Source organism: Homo sapiens, chromosome 17, assembly GCF_000001405.40.
Source record: "Homo sapiens chromosome 17, GRCh38.p14 Primary Assembly".
In the NCBI taxonomy this organism is placed as follows: Eukaryota; Metazoa; Chordata; class Mammalia; order Primates; family Hominidae; genus Homo; species Homo sapiens.
The window spans coordinates 46,327,315-46,349,344 of record NC_000017.11 but is presented as its reverse complement, the minus strand read 5'-3'; the positions used below and the strand labels follow the sequence as shown (position 1 = coordinate 46,349,344).

Here is a 22,030-nt window from a genome sequence, read left to right as displayed (position 1 = left end):
TTCTCCTACCTCAGCCTCCTGCATAACTGGGACTACAGGTGTGCAACACTGCACCCAGCTCTATCTTAAACATTTTTAAGTGTATAGTCAGTCATAATATTCTGCAACCATCACCACCATTCATTTCTGTAACTATTTTCATCTTGTAAAACCAAAACTTTGTGCCCATAAACTATAACTTCTGTTCTTCCCCCACCCTCTCCCCTTCCTCCCTGGCAGCCACCAGGTTGTCACATTTTTAATGATGCCAAATGGTTTCAGATGGTATCAGCCTAATTCCCCTGAATTAAAATTCTCCATCAACTTTTCACCTAATCGTTTTAGCATCCATTGAAAACTGTTGCCTAGACCCATTATTTTATTAGAAGTCACAAAATGGTGATTTCTCCCCCCTCCTAAATCTTGTTATTCCTCTGCATTTATTAGCTAAAATCCTTCTAAACAAAGAATTCCCTCATCAAATATTTGGTTTCCCTGAAATATAGTTTGTAGAAGAAAGGCTGGAAAAATGCTTTATTCTTTTCCTTCATGGATTTTCAGAAAAACCACTGGATGCCCCGCAACTTCCATGGTGACTCTTAGATGTTTGTATCTTCGTGTTTTGATCTGCAGATTATGTATTTTTTTGATACTCAGAGTGTCCATTTATCTTGGACTGGCACTTGACAAATTGGCAAACTCTTGCAGTTTCTTAACTGTAATAAAACTAGAACACATGGGTTTGAACCACAGCTCTGTGGTGAAACCTTGAGAGAGTTAGGTAATCTCGTCTGTCTCAATTTCCTCATCTTAAAATGGAGATAATACTTACTGCCTGCATCACTGGGCTTAAATTACTTATGTAAAATGCTTCATTTCGTGGCTGGATGACAGTAGGCACTCAAAAGCCCAAATTGTTTGAGGTTTCACTTCATCATTTCTCTGGCAGAATTCTTTTTTCTTACCCTACTGGGAGTTTCCACATTCAAATACCAAGATGAAATAAATACCTTTATTTCTTCAATCTTCTCTTCATAACAAGCCTAATTTTACTGAGTTTTGGTAGCTATTGTTTTTGATGGTAGGGAGCTGGCTGTACTCTAGGACCTTGGGGTGGGAAATTTGGACTTTTCATAAAATAGCAGTTGGGAGCTGCTGGAAGAATGGACGTGCCGTGAGTGGTCTTGGATGCAGCCCCTATTTTTTCTGCCAGTTTCTAAAGATCAGGCTGTCTTTTAGTTCAAATTTTTTTCATCAGTATGTTGAGTATGACAGAACTTAATGCTTTTAGCTCTCTATTAAGACATTTAACTGTGTAGGTTTCACTTGTATAGATTGGAATTTGAACAGTTTCTGATTTCTTTTTTATTTTTTTGAGACGGAGTCTCGCTTTGTCGCCAGGCTGGAGTGCAGTGGCACAATCTCGGCTCGCTGCAACCTCCACCTCCCAGGTTCAAGCGATTCTCCTGCTTCAGCCGCCCAAGTAGCTGGGACTACAGGTGCGCGCCATGCCCAGCTAATTTTTGTATTTTTAGTAGAGATGGGGTTTTACCATGTTGGCCAGGATGGTCTTGGATCTCTTGACCTTGTGATCCGCCCGCCTTGGCCTCCCAAAGTGCTGGGATTATAGGCGTGTATCACCGCGTTTTTTGTTGTTGTTGTTGTTTTTTGAGGCGGAGTCTTGCTGTCACCCAGGCTGGAGTGAAGTGGTGTGATCTCGGCTCACTGCAACCTCCACCTCCTGGGTCAAGCAATTCTCCTGCCTCAGCCTCCCGAGTAGCTGGGATTACAGGTGCCCGTCACCATGCCTGGCTAATTTGTTTATATTTTCAGTAGAGATGGGGTTTCACCACGTTTGCCAGGCTAGTCTTAAACTCCTGACCTCAAGTGATTTGCCCGCCTCGGCCTCCCAAAGTGCTGGGATTACAGACGTGAGCCACTGTGCCCGGCCGTGATTTCTTAATTGATATTTTTATAGACGGCGTAAGATGGTCCATTAGTTATTAGGGATAAATATTTTTCTCCTTGATTGTAGGTTCAGTTATTTTAATTTGTTGAATTGCAGCGTATCTGTCTGGTTCAAAATTCGAAAGTAAGAAAAGGTGTATACTCATCCTTTGGTATCTGTGGGGGATTAGTTCCAGGACCTCCCATAGATACCAAAATCCTTGGATATTCAAGGCTTTGATATAAAATGGTGTAGTATTGGCATAAAACCTATGCATGGTGCCATCTTGGCTCACTGCAACCTCCGCCTCCTGGGTTCAAGCAATGCTCCTGCCTCAGCCTCCCTAATAGCTGGGATTACAGGCACCTGCCACCATGCCCAGCTAATTTGATATTTTTAGTAGACGCGGGGTTTCACCATGTTGTCAAGGCTGATCTCAAACTCCTGACCTCACGTGATCCACCCGCCTCGGCCTCCCAAAGTGCTGGGATTACAGGCGTGAGCCACCGCGCCCAGCTGTCTCATAGTTTTAGACACTGTCTGTTGCCTTCCTGGTAAACCTGGCAAGGACTTAGCTCTTTTACACCCTAGCCCTGTCCATTCTTGAGGTTTGGGTTTGCCACAATTTGTAGAAAATGAACAGTGTTTACAGAATTGTGACTATATAAATATTATTCACCACAGAGCTTAATAATGTGCTGTGAGGTCAGGCATGGTGGCTCACGCCTGTAATCCCAGCACTTCGGGAGGCCAAGGTGGGCGGATCACCTGAGGTCGGGAGTTCAAGACCAACCTGGCCAACATGGAGAAACCCCATCTCTACTAAAAATACAAAAATTAGCCGGGTGTGGTGGTGCCCCCCTGTAGTCTCAGCTACTTGGGAGGCTGAGGCAGAGAATCACTTGAACCTGGGAGGTGGAGGTTGCAGTGAGCCGAGATCATGCCACTGCACTCCAGCCTGGGCAACAGAGTGAGACTCTATCTCAAAATATAATAAAATAAAAATAAAATACACTCTGATGATGGCTGCTTCCCCCAAGGGTGCCTCAAGCTCTCTCCTTTTCTTTCAGTGCCATCTGCCATTATCGTGCCCTCGTTCTCTTCCAGTGCTCTGGCGGAGCAGGTGGCGCCCAGGCCCACAGTGCCCTCTCCAAGTTCTGTCCTCCATGTGCTCAAGTTATCCCCTAAACTTGTCACATGGGTCATCCTGGAACTTTGCTTAACTGCTTCCTGGGTTGGGGCCTTTATTTCCTGGCTCCCTTCTCTTCTTGCTTAATTTCCCCTCCCTTTGCTGCAGCACATACCCAGTTAATCCCTTTCTAACATTAAAAAAAGAAAAAGAGAATAGTTCTTGGACCTCCTCATGATAGAAATTATATCTTTAGGCCGGGTGTGGTGGCTCACTTGTGTAATCCCAGCAGTTTGGGAGGCCGAGGCAGGTGGATCACTTGAGCTCAGGAGTTCAAAACCAGCCTGAGCAACATGGTAAAACCCTATCTCTACAAAAAGTACAAAAATTAGCCAGGTGTGGTTGCATGTACCTGCAATCCCAGCTACTCAGGAAGCTGAGGGAGGAGAATCTCTTGAACCCAGGAGGTGGAGGTTGCAATGAGCTCTGATCATGCCACTGCACTCCAGCCTGGGTGACAGAGTGAGACCCTGTCTCAAAAAAAACAAAATAAAGTTGTATCTTTAATATCCATTAACTGAAAAATAAAAATAAAAATAAGGACCAAAAATTACTATGTGGACACACATGCTTTTAAATGAATTTGTGTGTTATTAACCACAGTAACATCTATGAACTTGTGAAAAACTGTTACTGGTTTAGGCTTAAGGGTTTGCCCAGTCTAGCTTCAATGTTCAATGGGTGGGCATGGTGGCTCACACTTTGGGAGGTGGCCAAGGCAGGCAGATCGCTTAGTCCAGGAGTTGGAGACCAGCCTGAGCCACATAGTGAAACCCTATCTCTACAAAAAATTTAAAAATTAGCTGTGTGCGGTCACGCGCACCTGTAGTCCCAGATATTGGAGGGCAGTGGGGGGTGGCGCTGAGGTGGGAGGATCACTCGAGGCCAGAAGGTCAAGGCTGCAGTGAGCCGAGGCTGAGTCACTGCCTGGGTGGCACAGCAAAACTCTGTCAAAAAAACAAACCAAAACAAAACAAAACAGACAAACAAGAACCAAAGTTGGATGCAGTGGCTCATATCTGTAATCCCAACAACTCGGAAGGCTCAGGCAGGAGGATTGCTTGAGGCCAGGAGTTCAAGGCCAGCCTGGGCAACATACTGAGACCCTCGCCTCTGAAAAAATTAAATATTAATAAAAACAAACCCTAGTAGCTTCAGTCTTTGATTCTCCATCCCTCATTTCATCCCTTTGTCTTCTGGTAATAGAATTTCCTTCTTGTTTTTCTTTTGGGATGAGCCACCTTCGCTCCCTGGGATTCTGCTGGGATTGAGTTACCGCCTTCCGGGCTCAAGCGATCCTCCCACCTCAGCCTCCCAAGTCGCTAAGACCATAGGTGCATGCCACCATGCCTGGCTAATGTTTTGTATTTTCTGTAGAGCCGGCGTTTTGCCCTGTTGCCCAGGAGTTTTTCCTTTAATGTTCTCCTGCTACTTACTAATTCACTTTGTCACCCTGTGAGCTCATAAGAGCAGAGAGATAGCAACAGGAGCTAAAAAAACTCTAAGCTGTGAAAAAATATTAAATATGAAATCATGATAGCTATTAGCTTAATTTGTTTTAGGCAAATTGCAAAGTAATTTTTTGGGAATCAGTGTCCCACTGCAGTGATTCCATATGGGGATTCCTAATTCCCAGTATGTTTTTAAAATAATTTGTAAACACCTAGTACAAACGCATGATATGAAATTCAAGAGGTACAAAAGGGCATACAGCCCTGCACTCTCCCAGTTTCCCTCCCGGAAGGCAACCGCCATTACCAGTTTCTCGTGTGTGCTTCCAGAGGTATTCTTGTCCAACAGAACTTCAGTGATGAAAACAGTTGCCTGTGCTGCCAGTTTGGAAGCCATTAGCCACACGGGGCAGTTGAGCACTTGATATGTGGCTAGTGTGTCTTAGCAGCTGACTTTAAAAATTTTTTTTTTTTTGTTAAAGACTCAGCGTCTTGCTCTGTTTACCAGACTGGACTGCAGTGATGTGTGAACATGGCCTCAAACTCCTATTTATTTATTTTTTGAGACAGGGCCTCACTCTGTTGTCCAGGCTGGAGTGCAGTGGTGCAGTCATAGGTCACTGCAACCTTGACCTCCTGGGCTCAAGAAATCCTCCCACCTCAGCCTCCTAAGTTGCTGGGACTACAGATGAATGCCACCATGTTTGGCTGATTTTTACAATTTTAAATTTTTTGCCTGGGCGCAGTGGCTCATGCCTGTAATCTCAGCACTTTGGGAGGCTGAGGCGGGCAGATCACCTGAGGTCAGGAGTTCAAGACCAGCCTGGCCAACATGGCAAAACCTTGTCTCTACCAAAAATACAAAAATTTGCTGGGTATGGTGGTGCGTGCCTGTAGTCCCAGCTACTTGGAGGCTGAGGCACGATAATCGCTTGAACCCAGGAGGCAGATGTTGTAATAAGCTGAGACTGCGCCACTGCACTCCAGCCTGGGTGACAGAGTGAGACCCGTCTCAAAAAAAATAAAAATAAATAAATAAATAAATTTTTTGTAGAAAAGGGGCTTCACTATGTTGCCCAGGGTGTTCTTGAACTATTGGCCTCAAGCTATCCTCCCACTTGGCCTCCCAAAGTGCTAGGATTACAGGCATGAGCCACTGTGGCCAACCTAAATTTATATGTAAATAGCCATATGTGGCTAGTGGCTACTGTATCAGACCTCACAGTTCTGTACAGATAACGCACAGCGCACAGTAGCATACTATACACGCCCTACTAAATCTTGCTTTGTTCCCTTAACAGCACCTATGCATCTTGGAGATAGATTGTCCCAGTCTGCCTCATTTTTAAAAACTGCTGCATAATATCCTCTTGTAATCCACAAAGGGAATCCCAGACCCAGCCTGGGGGGCCATGGGTCATCACTTTTTACAACAAGCTCTAAAATCTTCCACATGTACCATAATCAAGGCACTTCAGAACAACCCTAGGTTCCTCATGCCTCTACTTTTATTAGCCTGGGCCTGACATAGTTGGACATTGAATAGTCACTTCTGGGGGCTGGTGGAAATAATTTACCATGAGTGACTGCCCTAAAGTATACTCTCCACCCACGTGGCCCGTGCCTGGCATTCACTAGTGCTGGTGGCATTCTTTAAGGTTGCTCATATCTCTAAGTGGTTCTCCTTTAAAGAGCAAAGTCTCCTGGGAAAGGTGGTCATTAAGCAGAACATCTGGGGCTCATCTTGCTTTTGCCCTGTTGAGAGGGGCCAAGGGACTTGGTAGAGCAGCAGGGGCTCTGACGGTGAACCTCATTGTTTTTAAAATTATTCATAAGAGGCCAGGTGCATTGGCTCACACCTGTAGTCCCAGGACTTTGAGGAGCAGAGGCAGGAGGATCATTTGAGTCCAGGAGTTCAAGATTAGACTGAGCAACACGGGGAGACCTCATCTCTACAAAAAATTTAAAAGAAAATTAATTGGGCATCATGGCACGAGCCTGTGGTTCCCGCTACTCGGGAGGCTGAGGTGGGAGGATCACCTGAGCCCAGGAGGTTGAGACTTGCAGTGAGCTGAGTTCACACCACTGCACTCGAGCCTTGATGACAGAATGAGACTGTCTCAAAAAAAAAAAAAAAAAAAAAAATTGTCCTTAAGTCCATGTGGACCCCTGACTAGGTTTGTGCCCTAGACAGCCTTCCTCTGAGGGCAGTTCAGGTGGTGAGACTCCAGCTTTAAATGGCCTCTAGAGAAATTTCACTAACCTGCCTTGGTGTTTGACCCTGTATAACCCCTTTCTTCTGGAGGTCCCTTTGGGTGGCAGTAGATACGGGATTTGGTGTCTGACAGCTCTGGGGACAGATCCCAGCTCCAAATGGCAGAGTCTCTACAGATTACAAGCCAAATACTTAGCACTATGTGCTGATCTTCAGGAAGTCAGTCTATATTTCATAACAAGTCACATGGGGATAATGAAGGAATGGCCTAAAATGCTCTCAGTAATATTCCTGAGTCATCCCTCAGGGCTAGGCTTGGTGTTAGGCATGGCGGGGAAGGGAGCAGAGCTGTGTGCAGAGGAAGATGCAGTTCTTGCCTTGTCAGGGTCCCTGACCTGATGGCGACCCATGGTGGAGTCTTCATAGTGACAGACACCACTGTAAAAGCAGATCCAGGTTGTGCAACCCTCAAAGCAGGTCTCCTCACTCACCGGGATAGATAGACTATTGGCCGTACCTGCATCCACCGCTTGCCATGGTTTCGTTGTGGGTGGAGGATACTTTCCTGTCCCCTGGCTTTGGGTTTGCCCACGTGGCTTGCTCTGGCCTTGGAATGAAGCAGAAACGAAAGGCTGCCAGTTCCGAGCCCACGTCTGAAGTCGCCTTAGGTGGTTCCGCGGGCCCCGTGCGCTCCCACCTTCACCCAGAGGGCCTTCTCTGGTGCAGCCGCTGCTTCTTCAGCCTCCGCCCAAAAGGAACGGAGCCCCCTGGCCGATCCGCAGGCCTACAGGGAGCCACAGAGCGCAGCGGCTGGACCAGCGTTCAAGCCCAAGCACAGGCCTGCGAGAACCTTGTTCCAGCCGCCGTTTAGGATGGTTGATTAGGACGCGTTGCAGTGGCGGTAGCTCACCAATCCAGTGCGTGCACCCGCTCCTTTATTAGGCTATAGAGCCAGTGGCTCCCACAGGGACCTGATACAACAGTGCGTTAAATAAGGAGCATATTGAGCTCTCATGTCGTAAGCCAGTGGAGAAGTCCAGGGCTAGTGTGGGGGCTCCGGCGGGGGCTGTGGCCCCCATCCGCATGGAGCCTCCCCATGGTTCACAGGTCTCAGTCTTCGGAGCCTTCGGCCCTGCGAGCCCGAACGGTCCACAGGGCGGCGCCAGACCCTCTTTCGAACGCCATCCTCTAAAGCCTCGGCTCCAACCGGTTCCACTTCTTCAGGCTCAGGATTTTCACTCTTCTCGAATGGGGGTGGCCCTCCCCCAATCTTCTGAGTCGCAACAGCATCTCCCTCCCTCCAGGACCTCAGAGCCAGAGCTGGGCGAGAGGCCCTGACCTCCGGGGTAGGGTGGAAGCGTCCCTGTGAAGGTGCAGTCCTGCCTCCCATCCCCAGGCGCCGGGCCTCTCCCACCCTCAGCGCCCTGCTCACCTCCAGCTGAAGATGCCAGGGCACCTCTGCTTCCTCCCTGCCCTCTCTGCAGTACCGCCGAGTGTGCATAAAAGGGTTTAATATAGGCTTTGCCGGGCGCGGGGACTCCCACCTGTAATCCCAGTACGTTGAGAGACCAAGGCGGGAGGATCACTTGAGGCCAGGAGTTCAAAACCAGCCTGGGCAACAAAGTGAGGCCCGTCTCTGGAAAAAAAAAAAAAAAGAATAAAAGAGGTCCCTTTTTCTAGGCTAGAGATCCACAGGTGTATTTTCAGAAACTGAATTTCCTGGCGGGGCACAGTGACTCATGCCTGTAATCCCAGCACTTTGGGAGGCCAAGGTGAGCGGATCACTTGAGGTCAGGAGTTCAAGACTAGCCTGGCCAACATGGTGAAACTGTTTTTAGAAAAAAAAAAAAAAATTGGCCGGGCATGGTGGTGGGTGCCTGTAATCCCAGCTATTCGGGAGGCTGAGGCAGGAGAATCACTTGAACCTGGAAGGCAGAGGTTGCAGTCAACCGAGATCACGCTGCTGCACTCCAGCCTGGGTGACAGAGACTGTCTCCAAAAACAAACAAACAAACAAAACACAAAAAAAACCCCAAAACCCAAAACAAGCCAGGCGCGGTAGCTCGCACCTGTAATCTCAGCCCTTTGGGAGGCCAGGGCGGGTGGATTACCTGAGGTCAGGAGTTCGAGACCAGCCTGACCAACATGGTGAAACCCCATCTCTACTAAAAATACAAAAATTAGCCGGGCATGGTGGTGCATGCCTGTAACCCCAGCTACTAGGGAGGCTGAGGCAGGAGACTTGCTTGAACCCAGGAGGCGGAGGATGCAGTGAGCTGAGATCGTGCCATTGCATTCCAGACTGAGCAACAAGAGCAAAACTCCACCTTAAAAGAAAAAAAAAAAGAAAAAAAAACAAACAAAACTCCTGAATTTCCCTGTGGATACCTTTTCTCTGGCAGCCTTTTTCAATGAGGGCTAAGTTTTCTCCAATACTATATGGCCTGCAGACCGCTCAGCTTTCATTCCAGTGAAAACATTCCAGAAAAAACTCTGAATCAATCCCAGGTGTTTCTCCAATCAGCTCAGGATGATTGTGTGTTACCTGCTGCCCAGCCAGTGACACCTCTCCAGGCCTCTGACTTAGCTAGGTCTCCACCATGTGACTCCACCATAGACTCCCCACCTTCTTCTTTTGCAAAGCCTCAGACACCCAAACACCTACCAAAAGTGGGTAGGGCACCAGGACACTCCAAGTGTAAGTGGGGCTCTCCAGCACACCTGGATGTGGAGGTGTGATGCAGAGTGGTGGCTGCTCGTGACACTCATTTCACCCCTTTCTGTGCAGGTGCCAGAAGCCCAGGAAGCACACATCAAGGCTCACTTGCCAGCGGGGTGCTGCCAATAAAATGTAGTCACGTGGAATTTGGAATGTGGAAAGGAGGTAGAAGTCATCCTTTCCTCCCCCATAGCAGCAGGTGTGCAGGCTCTGGTGGTCAGCTGGACTCCATACTCCCCCACCAGTCACCAGCCTGGGGACCGTGGGGCTGCAAGGACCTCAGCAGCGGTTTCCCAAGTTTCCTGACTTCTTCCATCCTCTGGAAATCAGCTGTGGTAAAGTAGCCTGAAAGCCAGTGGTGCAACCCCATCCCCACAACCTTCACCACCTCTAGCACCTCCAGTGATAAGCACTAATTGCCTATATACAACCCTTTTTTGTTTGAAATATCTAGAGTAATTTCTGTTTTCCTATCTGGGGTAGTGTAACATAAGAAGAAATATATATTTGGTCTCTGACCCCAGTTCCTAACACAAAGCTCCTAAAACCCTTGGAAATTCCTGAATGATGGCGGTGCTAAGAGCATTGTCCTTTGTTAATTTATCATTTTTCTTTTCTCCTAGGTGTTTTTTCCTTTTTAAACTTTCCTTTTAGGTTAGGGGGTACATATGCACGTTCGTTATATAGCTAAACTTGTGTCATGGGGGTTTGTTGTACAGATTATTTCATCACCCAGGTACCAAGCCTAGTACCCAATAGTTTTTTCTGCTCCTCTCCCTCCTCCCACCCTCCACCCTCAGGTAGGGCCCAGTGTCTGTTGTTTATGAGTTCTCATCATTTTGCTCCCACTTAAAAGAACATACAGTATTTGGTTTTCTGTTCCTGTCTTAGTTTGCTGAGGATAATGGCCTCTAGCTCCATCTGTGTTCCTGCAAAAGACATGATCTCGCTGTTTTTTATGGTTGCACATCTTTTGTTCTAACATTTGGTCCTTAAACCTGGTTCCTGACACAGAGCTCCTAAATCCCTTGGAATTTTCTGGGTGATAGAAGCGTCCTTTGTTCTCATGAGGTGACTCTTGGTGGGCTCCTTATTTGGGGACTGGTCACCAAAAAGACCTATGGTTGGAAGCGTTGTGCTGTCAGCCCCATTCCCCATCCTCTGGCGTGGGGAGTAGAGCTGGAGCTCAATCATGCCTACGTGATAAAGCCTCCAGAAAACTCCTTAAAAGACAGGACTTGGAGAGCTTCCGGGTTGGCGAACACATCCATGTTCCAGGAGAGTGGTGCACCCCAACTCCACAAGGACCCTTCCAAACCTCACCCTGTGTATCTCTTCAACTGGCTTCATCATTTGTGTCCTTTAAAATATCCTTTGTAATAAATCAGCACTAGTAAGAAAACTGTTTTCCTGGGTTCCATGAGCTGTTCTAGCAAATGTTCAAACCTGAGGAGGGAGTTGTGGGGACCTCCAATTTACAGCCAGTTGGTCAGATGCATAGGTGATGCTTGGCCTTGCACCTGGGGTCTGACATGCGGATGGTTCTGTGTGACTGAGCCCTTAACCTGTGGAGTCTGGTGCTCACTCTGCTTAGGGCTTCTCTTGCCTTTTTAGTGTCCTTCTAGGCGGCCTTTCCTTCCTCTTGTCAGCTCAGAAAACTTTTCTTCCACTTCCCTTCTTCTAAACCATCCCTTACATCTACTCCTTTCCAGCCGACCAAGAGCAGAACCACGGCTGGTTCCACTGCCACCATGCTGTCCCACACTGTCTCCTCAGGATGTATTCAGATGTCCAGCCCTCCCCCCAGTCTAGGAGCCCCCCCTTTGAGGAAAGGGATGCTGGCCTAGTCAACTCTTTCCCAGCACCAGGTACAGCATCTGGCACGTTCCATCTTTTTCATGGACTCTCCCCAGGCGGCCTGACCTTCCCTCCTCTGAACCGGTGCATTTCTTGTCTGCATCATGTTTGCCCTAATCAGATATCACCTTATTTCCTCTTTTAAAAAATGCTTTGTTTCTCTGGCAGGCTTCATCGGAATCACAATTTTCATTCATTTAGTAACTGTTGTTGTTTATTCTATGTATTTTTGCAGGAGGCCTGAGGTGGGCTGTGTTCTCCTCCTATGGCAGGGCTTCACTCTCCTCCTCCTCCGTTGGGGCTTCGCTGTCCCTGGGATAAGAATAACAATGCCAAGGTTTTCATTCTTGAAAGGAGCAATTAAGCTTCTCACCCCCTCCTCATTTTAGATGGGAACTGTGAGGGCCCCATCATTTACCCAGGGTCCCTGTTGAGGATCTTGTCCTCATTAGATGACTTCTTGTGCAGCTTCCATGCATGATTATTTATTCTTGTGGCACTGAGAGGTTTGTACAGATCTTTAAACCAGAGCGGCTGTCCAAATGAGGAAAGTCCATCCTAGAAGATAGAAAGGGAAATATTAATTTTGCATGTCCTCTGCTTTCCCTGGCCACAGCAATGAATCCTCCAATGTACCTGACTCTCCCTTCGCGAAGAGCATCCCCTCCATGGCAGAAATCTGAAAATGCCCCTGGGGAGACACATGCACAAGACAGTGAGTGATGCAGCCGTTTCCCACGTATCTCACAATGTACTTCTCTGGTCTTATTAGGACTAAATGAGTATCTCAGTCCATAATCACAGGGAGAACCACCACCACAGACCACATACCCGGGGTCTTGAAAATAATTCCATGCATGTGGGACTTTCAGAAGCTCTCCATGTCTGCCCAGAAGGGCCCCACAATATACTGGGGGGACTTTGTATGTGGCTCAGCATGGAGCAGGGGCAGGATTTTCAGTCCCACTCACTCCCTTGGCCAAGTGCCCTTGTGCAGTGAACAAACTGCACAACCATGCTGGGCAGAAGCATTTTATATCAGTCCCCTTCGGACTTAGTCTCACAGGCATCATTTGATGGGGGATGGGAGATGAAGTGGTTCTTCGTTTTCTAGATACTTTATTCTATAAGTTGGATCACCTCAAGCAAATGCGTGAGTGCAGCTAGCCAAGTTCTCTATCTCACAGTCTTCATATGGCTGGCTGTCGCTGATGAGTGAGTGAGCTACGAAATCAGCTTAAAGCACAACATGTTATTTTTGAATTTGAATAAAATAGGAAAAGGCAGAGTGCATTGTGTGACCATGGGGTAAGTAAGACACTCTCCCTTTCTCCTTCTCAGTTTTCCTGTCATAAAAGGACAAACTACTATCTAAGGTCTCCGTAGTTAAAATTCTTTTTTGTTGTTTTTTTTTTATTTGAGACAGTTTGGCTCATTCCCCAGGCTGGAGTGCAATGGTGCTATCTTGGCTCCCTGCAACCTGCGCCTCCTGGGCTCAAGCAGTTCTCCTGCCTCAGCCTCCCAAGTAGCTGGGATTACACGCCTGCGCCACCACACCCAGCTAATTTAGTATTTTTAGTAGAGATGGGGTTTCACCATGTTGGTCAGGCTGGTCACGAGCTCCTAACCTCAAGTGATCCCAAAGTGCTGTGATTACAGGCGTGAGCCATCCTGCCTGGCCTTTCTGGTTAAAATTCTGTGAGGTTTGCATAAAAGGAATAGAGTAGGGGCCCAAAAACCAGTAAGATGAGAAAATAGTGTTTCCTCAGTTCTAGGATCCAGGGGAAAAAAAAAGAAATAAAAGAGAAAATACTGTTTCCTGCCACTTAAGAGGAAGGACTCGCATATCCTACCTTCCATCAGCCTTGAAGGAGACAAGTGCCCTCTCTCTCACACCCGGTGGCCTTCCCTTCCCCTTTCCCAGAGCCTCCAAGAAGGCCCCTGGCCTGGCCTGATGCCCACCATCAGCAGCAATAGGCACCAAAACCTTTCTCCTTCCTATCCCTCCCCACCTCCCGAAAGGGCTGGGGACAGCAGGTGTGTCCTTGTTAGTTCCATCCAGCTCAGCTTTGGCTGGGGAGCTAATTTCACTGGAGCCAGGCTAAGCATTAGGGTAAGTATTTGTCCTGTCTTGGGCAGTTTCCTCACTGAAAAATGAGGGCAGAGTTCTAAGCCCTCCTCTAATTCTAAAATTCTAATTAAAACGTCGCGAGACTAGTGGTGCATGCCTGTAATCCCAGCTACTCGGGAGGCTGAGGCAGGAGAATCGCTTGAACCTGGGAAGTGGAGGTTGCCGTGAGCCGAGATCGTGTCATTGCACTCCAGCCTGGCAACAAGAGGGAAACTCCATCTCAAAAGAGAAGAAAAAAAAAATCACCAGACTAATATTTACCTTGAGAATCCTTCTTCATCTTCTTGTAATGACCTTCGGTGACAACATATCTGTTTTAGAAGAAAACGCAATTAAGATTATCTATGACAACAACCACCATCTCCAAATCTGTATTGATTCCTTTTATTCATTATAAGTCTCATGTACCTGATGAGGTAACTTTTTTGAAGACAGGAATTGTATGCTGTGTAACACTGCTTTGATTCTTCCATAGTTCAGTCATCCTTGCTATCTTGCGGGGGATTGGTTCTAGGATACCGCCCCCACACCATACCAGAATCTGTGGATGCTCAATCCCTTACATATAATGGTGTAATATTTGCTTATAACCAACACGCATCCCCCCTATACTTTATTTACTTAGCGACAGGATTGCCCTCTGTTGCTTACGCTGGAGTGCAGTGTCATCCTCTGTTACTCAGGATGGAGTGCGGTGTCACGATCACAGCTCACTGTAGCCTCAACCTCCTGGGCTCCAGTGATCCGCCCACCTCAGCCTCTTGAGTAGCTGAGACTACAGGTGCATACTACCACACCTGGCTATTTTTTTTTTAATTTTTAATAAAGACAAGGTCTCACTATGCTGCCCAGGTTGGCCTCCCAATGTGTTGGGATTACAAGTGTGAGCCACCATGCCTGGCCCCATGTAATTTAAGTCATCACTAATAAAATGTATACATATTGTACATTGTTGACAGTTGTTATATTGTACTTTCTGTTTGTATTTTTATTGGTTTTTTTTTCTTCAAATATTCAGCCTGATCTAGTTGAATCTGAAGATGTGGACCTGCTGATGAAGAGGGCTGACTGTATCTAACTTAGGGTCTTGCATGCAGCTGGCACTTAATACATTTTATTGACTGTTTTAGATAACATTCAACAGATAATTCCTAATAAAAACTCTTAAAAGTAGGAGAAAAAGGAAACCTGAGTCCTTCCTCTGAAGTGGCAGGAAAACCAGCCTGGGCAACATAGCAAGACCTTGTCTCTACGAACACATTTTTTAAATTAGCTGCCTGCCTGTAGTCCCAGCCACTCAGGAAGCTGAGGCAGGAGGATCCCTTAAGCCCAGGAGTTTGATGTTACAGTGAGCTAGGTCACACCATTGCTCTCCAGCCTGGGTGACAACAAGGCCCTGAGAAGGGAAAAAAAAGGAAAGGAAAGGAAAGGAAAAAGGAAAAGGGAAAGGAAGGAAAGAGTAGAAGTATTGGAAAGGAAGAGACAAAACTATCATTATTTGCATATTAAATGATAAATGTTAGCCAAAGAAGCCTAAGAGAATCAACTAAGATTTTACTGGAAGTAATGAGAATTCAATACAGTGGCTATCTACAAAATCAAGAAATCAGCACACAAACCTCAAATACTTTTCCCATGTACCACCAATAACTAATTAGAAAATGGAAGAAAGATCCCATTTACAATGGCAATACAAATGTATGAAGAATTTAGGAACAAAAATACAAAGATCTTTTATCTAACAAAAGATGTATAAGATCTATATATGGAAACACTAAAGCTCTTCTGAAAGACATTAACAAGAAATGAATACATGACATGAGATAGCACGTTCCTAGAATGTCGTACAGATGTAAATTCTCAAATTAATCTACAAATTTAACGTAATCCTATTCAAATCCCAAGATAGTTTTTGGTGGTGGCTGTTTTTAAGACAGGGCCTAGCTGTGTTGCCCAGGCTAGAGTGCAGTGGTACGACCACAGCTCACTGCATCCTCGACCTCCCAGGCTCAAGCGATCCTCCCACTTCAGCCTCTGAAGTCTCTCATATGGTGTCCAAGAAATGGTGACAAATCTCACAAAGGGACCAGGCTCAGCAGGGCTGGAATATTCAGGGAAGGTGTCAAGAAGAAAGATGAACTTGAGTTGGCTTTTGAGAGATGCATAGGACTCCCACAGGCAGAGTGAAATAAGGGCATTTTAGATGGACAAACACACAGACAAAAGCAGAAATGTGGGTGGTGTGACTGGGGTTTGGTGAGGGGCTGCTGTGGCTGGAATGGAGGGCTGCCACAATAATGGAAATGGTAAATGAGGCAAGTAAGGTTGGACTGGTAGCATAGCGTCAAGGTTGCCAGCTTTATTAAATCACTCTTCCAATATGCTAGCACTGGCCTGTTGGGAAAAGTAATACATCATGTAATCGAACAAAAGACAGAGGCAAGCTCCAGGAATGGGCACTGTAAACAGGACTTGTCCCAGAGTAGCCAGATGTAGGCTTTAGGTAAGTTGATGCAAGCTGAGCATCTCTAATCTGAGGGGGAATGTCTCACATGGTGTCCAAGAAATGGTGACACATCTCACAGAGGGTATAGGCTCAGGAGGGCTAGAGTATGAGACGTTCCTCCTCACCAGTGAACTTAAAAATGTGGCCAAAAATTTTTGTAAAAGATGGCTACTCTGTAGTGCTTTAACTGGACCTATTTAGACAATGCCTTACACACTGGAGGATGATACTGTGTAAATCTAATAAGTCTACAAGACAATACGTATGTCTTTTGGCTCTCTCCTTCCTCTCCAGGGTGATGACAACTCCGTGAGGGTGGAGATTATACCTCTCTCATCATTTCAGCAACAAGGAAATAAATTAGTGGCAGAGTAAGGGTGACTTGATGAGTACATCCAATTGTTGACATAGTTTTGGGTGGGAGAAATTTTGCTATTATATCGACTTCTTAAAATAGTCTAGTGGGATTCACTTGGTTTCAATTCACAGAGATCTGAAAGCGAGGATCCTTTAAAAATCCTGAAATATACACTGCAATAAAAGAACAAAGCATACACCTCAGCCTTAAATGACTGAAGAAGTATGTCAAGTAGCAGCAGGTGGGAAAGTGGCTTTGGTTTTCAGTTTGTGAGCTCTGAATCCACACAAAGACAGGACTGCATTCTGAAAACCTGAATTAATTATTGTCCTTACCACAATGAGGCAGAAAAGTATAATCAAAATCGTTAGTATTCCAGTAACAATTAATGCCAAGATGAGTTTGTCAGTATAGCCATATCCTGGAACTTCTTTTTTGAGCTAAAAAAAAAAACACACAAAAAAAAACCAGAATGAGAGCTAACTATTCAAAACCCCAGTATTCCAGGTGAGTAGCTGACAGGTTCTTTTTTATTTTTTTGAAAGAGGGTCTCACTCTGTCACCCAGGCTTGGGTACCGTGGTGCAATCACCGTTCACTAGACTCGACCTCCCTGGGCTCAGGTGATCCTCCCACCTCAGCCTTCCAAGTAGCTGGGACTACAGGCACGTGTCATCAACCCAGCTAATTTTCTTATTTTTTGTGGAGACAGGCTTTCACTATGTTGGCCAAGCTGGTCTCAAACTCCTGACTTCAAGTAATCCACCCACCTTCGCCTCCCAAAGTGCTGAGATTACAGGCGTGAGCTACCACCCCCGGCCTACAGTTCATCTTGTGCCCTAATCTATTTCTCTCTCTACATGAGCAAAGTGGGAGATCACTGTCATGACCAAAGTTACATGGCCAAGATAAGCTATGGCCTGGGAGTCCCAGACTCTTCTGTGTGGGCACTTTCCTGGGATATGCTAAATGATGGGAAATCTGGGTCTCATGTTTCTGTGTGGTCCTCACCTCAAGCGACTTCTCTTTCTGTTCACTCTGGGCTTCTGTGCTCTCATTAATGTAGTTCTCAATCTTCCATTGGTCCGTATCCCATTCTATCTTGGATGCCTTTACTTCCTGCTGCCCACTGAGAAGCTTCATCAGGTGGCCTGTCCTGGAGATGAGCTTGGCACAGGTCACTTGCACATGGGCCCCAGAGCAGTCCATCTTCAAGGTCCGGATAACATGAGCAATGAGCCTTCTCACATTGTTGTTGGGGATAAGGGACTGTAGCTGCTGGGTTAGCTGAATTTCAAACTGATCACCTGGGGACGAGAGCAATGGGTAATTGAAGCTTTTGGGCTCGGGGGACAGGTCAGTGCCCACGTTGTTGTATTCCCATTTTGTCTCAGTTTGTTTAACAGTTGGCCCTAAGTTGAATGCAGTCCCAGCGGAATCTGCCTCAGGAGGATGATTGTAGTTTGTGTTTTCAGAGATGGTTCCTTCTGGCATGTTAGTGTTTTCCATAAAATCATTTTCTTCAAAGGCATTTCTTGCAGTTGTGTGTTTTGTATTATTCTTCTCTATAAAATGTTCTGAAAGAGCAGATACTTCCAGAAAAGGGTTTTCTTGAGGACTCAGGTCTCCTAAGGATGAAAAAGCCCCTTGTGAAGGGGAATTTATGAGGCTCTTCGCTGCAGAGAATGGAAGCCTGTTTGCGAGCATCAGTCTACTCAGATAACTTTTCTTTCTGACCTTTGGACTCTTTTTGACTTTGGTTGTTCTGTGGGTCACGTGGGAGCGAGTTTTGTGAAAGCGGTATTTTTTTCTGGCATGTACGATTGGTTTAGACGTCTTCGTATTTGTAACTCTAGCCTTTGCACTTTCTAAAATGGAAATAGCGTGGGTTAAGTCTTTCGATCTGTCTCTCACCTGTGGTAGGGCTTTTGCAGGGCTGGAGGTAGAAGGCGTGCCCTTGGAGAAGGGTTTCAGCACAGAGACTGCTGCCTTATGCTCTTGGGTGAACGAAGGCTTGGTGTAGACGGCGTTTCCCGCTAACTTCTCAGGCCCCTGCTGTGTGTGGGGCTGTTCCACCTCCCTTGGGGCTGGACTCGTGAGCCTTTTTTCTTCGGCAGCGTTCTCCACAGATGCCTGGGCACCCTGTTCCCTCCTGATGCTCTGCCTTCCTACCTCTTTGAAGTGCCTTTTCTGGATGCTCCTTGGGCCCATGAGGACTCTCTTCACTCTCTGCCGGTTTTGGCCTACAGTTTGAATCTTTGCCAGGCTGTTTCCTGTGGTTGGCAGTTTAATGAACGGTAGTAACAGTGATTTCACATCTAGGTTTACCGCTGAGAAATAAGGCAAGATGTAACTTAGTGTACTGATAAAATCACTCTCGTCATTGGTGTCTAGCTGCTCACTCCCAAAGCCTGACAAGTTGATGCCACTGCTGTCTGAGGGCTCCTCTGGCTCAACAATCAGCTCAGTGCTTGTGTAGTTCTTCCGGGCTTGTAACACCTTCATGAACGCTCCTTCTGGATTCCCTACCGATGCTTCTTCAGCTGTCAAAAAAGAAGAGACTGCTTTGATCATGAAAGATGATGGGATGGGATGCATCAGTCCATAGCTGTACACCCCAGTCACACAGAGTAGGAGTCAGCAAACATTCGAGTGCCATTCAGAGAGGAGAAACACACACCCAATCCTAAACCTATGAAATGGCAACAACAAAAGGAGAAAATACATCTTTTGAAAACACGGCCACCTACTTGGAACATTCCATAGTGTGACATAGAGTAACTCTGTTTAGGATTATTTCGTTGATCCCCAGAGGCCAATTGCCCAGTGCTCAGTCAAAGCCCAAGGTGGAAGACAAGTGCTTCCCTGATGAGCTGGCCTCTCTGCAGACTGCTCCGTACCCTGTGCTGTCCTGCCTCAGATGCAGAGAGAGCACAAGGCTCCTGCTCTCCTCGTCCTCGGTGCACCTGTGTTCGTGCTACCATCACAGCTGAATGCAATGAAAGGCGGTCCTCTGAGAGGAGCAGGGTGGAGATGCTAAAGTGGAGGCCCCGTCCCATTGCTGATAGATCCTCATCTGGCATGCGCTCCACCCTCCCCATTCTCTGCTCCCACGTATCGTAGCCCCATCACAGAAGATGCGACATGGAAAAACGCACTGTGTCCACCCTAGTTCTTAAATTTGGGCAGGGATTTGGGGTGTATGTTAAGAGTTTTTCAAATTTGCCAGATTGTATGCCTATGTTGTTAAATACACAATGAATCCCTGGTATGATAGCAGTTTCTGGATAAACATTACTTGAGGTCCTAAAATGCAGAAGGGAAAAAGCAACTTTTGTCAGATGCCTACTTTGCTTTCATTTCATCTCTAATATTTTGGATGGGGAATCATCCAAAGCTTCTGACTGCATGAAGGTCAGGTGTGCCAGTGTGCAGCTGGGTTTCTTTTCTGGAATTAAAAGTACTTTGGGTGGTGGTGAGGGTCAGAGGAAGAAGTAAAGATTGTGAGAAAGGGGAAGAAACATGGGCTTGGGGAGAACCCAGAATTGGGGCCAGAAGACCTGGCACTAGGCTACAGCACTTAGCACCTCTGATCTTGTTTTTCCTCATCTGTAAAAGGAGGTTAACAAAGCTTTTCTGCCCACTTCTTGGGGAGAAGGGAATAACATAATTGGTAAAAAAAAAAAAAAAAAAAAAAAAGTTTTGAAAAATAAGCAACACTGACTTTATGTAACCAAGCATTATTAATTCTCCACCCCATATCACTGGTAGATACCTGTATTCAAGCTATCTGGACATGAAAGCAGTCACATTTTAGAAGTCATGAAGTTGATGCTAATAAGCCTAATCTACAGAAACACTCTTGAAAGCCCTTGAGCGTTTGTTCTGTGAACAGAAAGGTTTGAGATTCGGAGCAAGTTCAGAGTTGGATGGTCTAAGAATGGAAAAGCCCTCCATTCCATTAGAAGAGCCAGGTAGCAATTTCTGGTTATGGAACCAGAAGCTCTCAGGCTTCAAATAAAACAGCATCACTTGTACTCTTATAAAACTGTAAAAACAGAAAGACCAAAACCGTATCTACATCTGTCCTATAAGGCAGAGAGTACTTGAGATCTCATGGATTTAAAACCAGCTTACAAACTACATTGCACTATATGAAGAAATTATCACTGTGGGCAAAGCATCAAGCAGAGAGCACAGTATACAGTGTGTGGATGTTAATGTTATTCCCTAGCCTTCCCATTCCTTTGTCTTGGTCCTTTCTGCATATGGAACAGTTCTATTATTAAATTTTGTAATAGTAACTGAGAACCTGACTTTCAGCAAGGGAGTAGTTCGGAAATTGAGGGAGTTTAACTCTGAATGAGTAAATAAAAATAAAGCAATTATGTCATTAGCTTAAAATTTTATCATCATTAAAAATAAAAAGTTTAAAAACAAATACTTAATGTAACAATTTATCACCGCGCAATTTGGACTCACGACAATGTGTGGTGTTTGTCAGACATGCACTGTTGCAATGCAGCTTGACTGTCTTGCAGACAGCCTCAATGCTGTTTTTAAATTGGCAGAGGCAGCAGGCCATATGGCTAGGTAAGATCCTATAGATGAAAACAGAGAGCAATAAATTAGCGGTAAAGCGGTTACTTGAGTAGGTAAAGGAGGCAGCCAACGCTACCACAGGTGTGGGAAAAAGGTGTCATTGAAGCCTATGGACTGGACAGTTGGGTAGGAACCAGAAGACCAATAGGAAGGAGGACAAAAGTGCCCAACTGAAGGGTAAGCATGGCAGTGAGTATGGTATGCCTAGAATAAAGATGGTTGGGATTAGAATTGGGTGACAGTGATTAGTAGTTTCAGAAGTATCTCTTCCCAATTCAAAAGTCTCACTTTGGGCTGAAAGTACAGAGGAAGAAGGTAGACTTTTAAGAAGTCTGAATAAGCCCCCAACTTCTGGAGTCCCTTTCTCAATTCCTGTTGGGAGTGGGAAATATTATAAATTACTCTGGGCATTAAAAATAGTTTAACCTGGATTGCGGAGTTAAAAAATAACAAAGACTGCATTGGTCAAATCTGGACAATTTGAGCATTCAAAAGAATAACAACAATAAGTTACCACATATTTAATATAAAGAAGAATCCACGAAGAGTGATATTGAAAAAGAAAGAGGAGGAGTTCTTCTTCAATGAAATAATGCCAGCTAGTAAATGTAGAAGGAATGACAGAATTTTTAAAAGTGTCACTTTGCAACCGTCAGTGTAATACAAATTCATTCAGACAAGGATTATCATTGATGCACATTTGGGTGAAAAAACATTTGAGAACAGGATCTTCACTGAACTCAAAGTAACAACCCACAGATTATTTATTAATTACCAAGGGGAAAATTATTATTTTTTATTTTTATTTTTATTTTGTCACCCAGGCTGAAATACAGTGGCAAAATTATACCTCAATGCAGCCTCAACCCCCCTGGGCTCAAGGGATCCTCCAAATTCAGCCTCCTGAGTAGCTGGGAGTATAGGCTTGCACCACCATGCCCAGCTAATTTTTTTTTTTTTGTACTTTTGTATTTTCAGTAGTGACAGAGTTTCCCCATGTTGCTCAGGCTGGTGTAGAACTCCTGGGCTCAAGCAATCCTCCCACCTCGGCCTTCCAAAGTGCTGGGATTACAAGT

The 22,030-nt window shown here is 45.8% G+C and overlaps 2 protein-coding genes across 17 annotated transcripts in view; one reads left to right on the top strand and one right to left on the bottom strand.

Annotated features, from left to right (window-relative positions):
* ARL17B (ARF like GTPase 17B) overlaps positions 1–22,030 on the top strand; it is an 87,604-nt gene that overhangs the window by 12,443 nt on the left and 53,131 nt on the right. Inside the window, exons 4-5 of one of the 5 annotated variants that reach the window (NM_001363805.1) lie at positions 9,571–9,836; positions 18,747–19,683. The exons of 2 other annotated variants lie outside the window; for them this stretch is intronic. In NM_001363805.1, coding sequence (NP_001350734.1) covers positions 9,571–9,836; positions 18,747–18,767 — 287 coding nt within the window. In that variant the 3' untranslated portion in view covers positions 18,768–19,683. Of the gene's footprint in view, positions 1–9,570; positions 14,444–18,746; positions 19,684–22,030 lie in introns of those variants that run through there. 2 more of the 5 variants (NM_001330240.1, NM_001039083.5) reach the window with 2 other exon arrangements.
* LRRC37A (leucine rich repeat containing 37A) overlaps positions 11,551–22,030 on the bottom strand; it is an 89,751-nt gene continuing 79,271 nt past the window's right edge. For 8 of the 12 annotated variants that reach the window (XM_047437205.1, XM_047437200.1, XM_047437206.1 and 5 more), the window contains 7 exons: positions 20,835–20,953; positions 17,364–18,895; positions 16,689–16,793; positions 13,751–13,800; positions 11,995–12,049; positions 11,777–11,916; positions 11,551–11,670 (listed from right to left, as the gene is read on the bottom strand). In XM_047437205.1, the coding sequence (XP_047293161.1) occupies positions 11,622–11,670; positions 11,777–11,916; positions 11,995–12,049; positions 13,751–13,800; positions 16,689–16,793; positions 17,364–18,895; positions 20,835–20,953 (2,050 nt within the window). In that variant the 3' untranslated portion in view covers positions 11,551–11,621. Of the gene's footprint in view, positions 11,671–11,776; positions 11,917–11,994; positions 12,050–13,750; positions 13,801–16,688; positions 16,794–17,363; positions 18,896–20,834; positions 20,954–22,030 lie in introns of those variants that run through there. The other 4 variants (XM_047437202.1, XM_047437204.1, XM_047437196.1 and 1 more) reach the window with 3 other exon arrangements.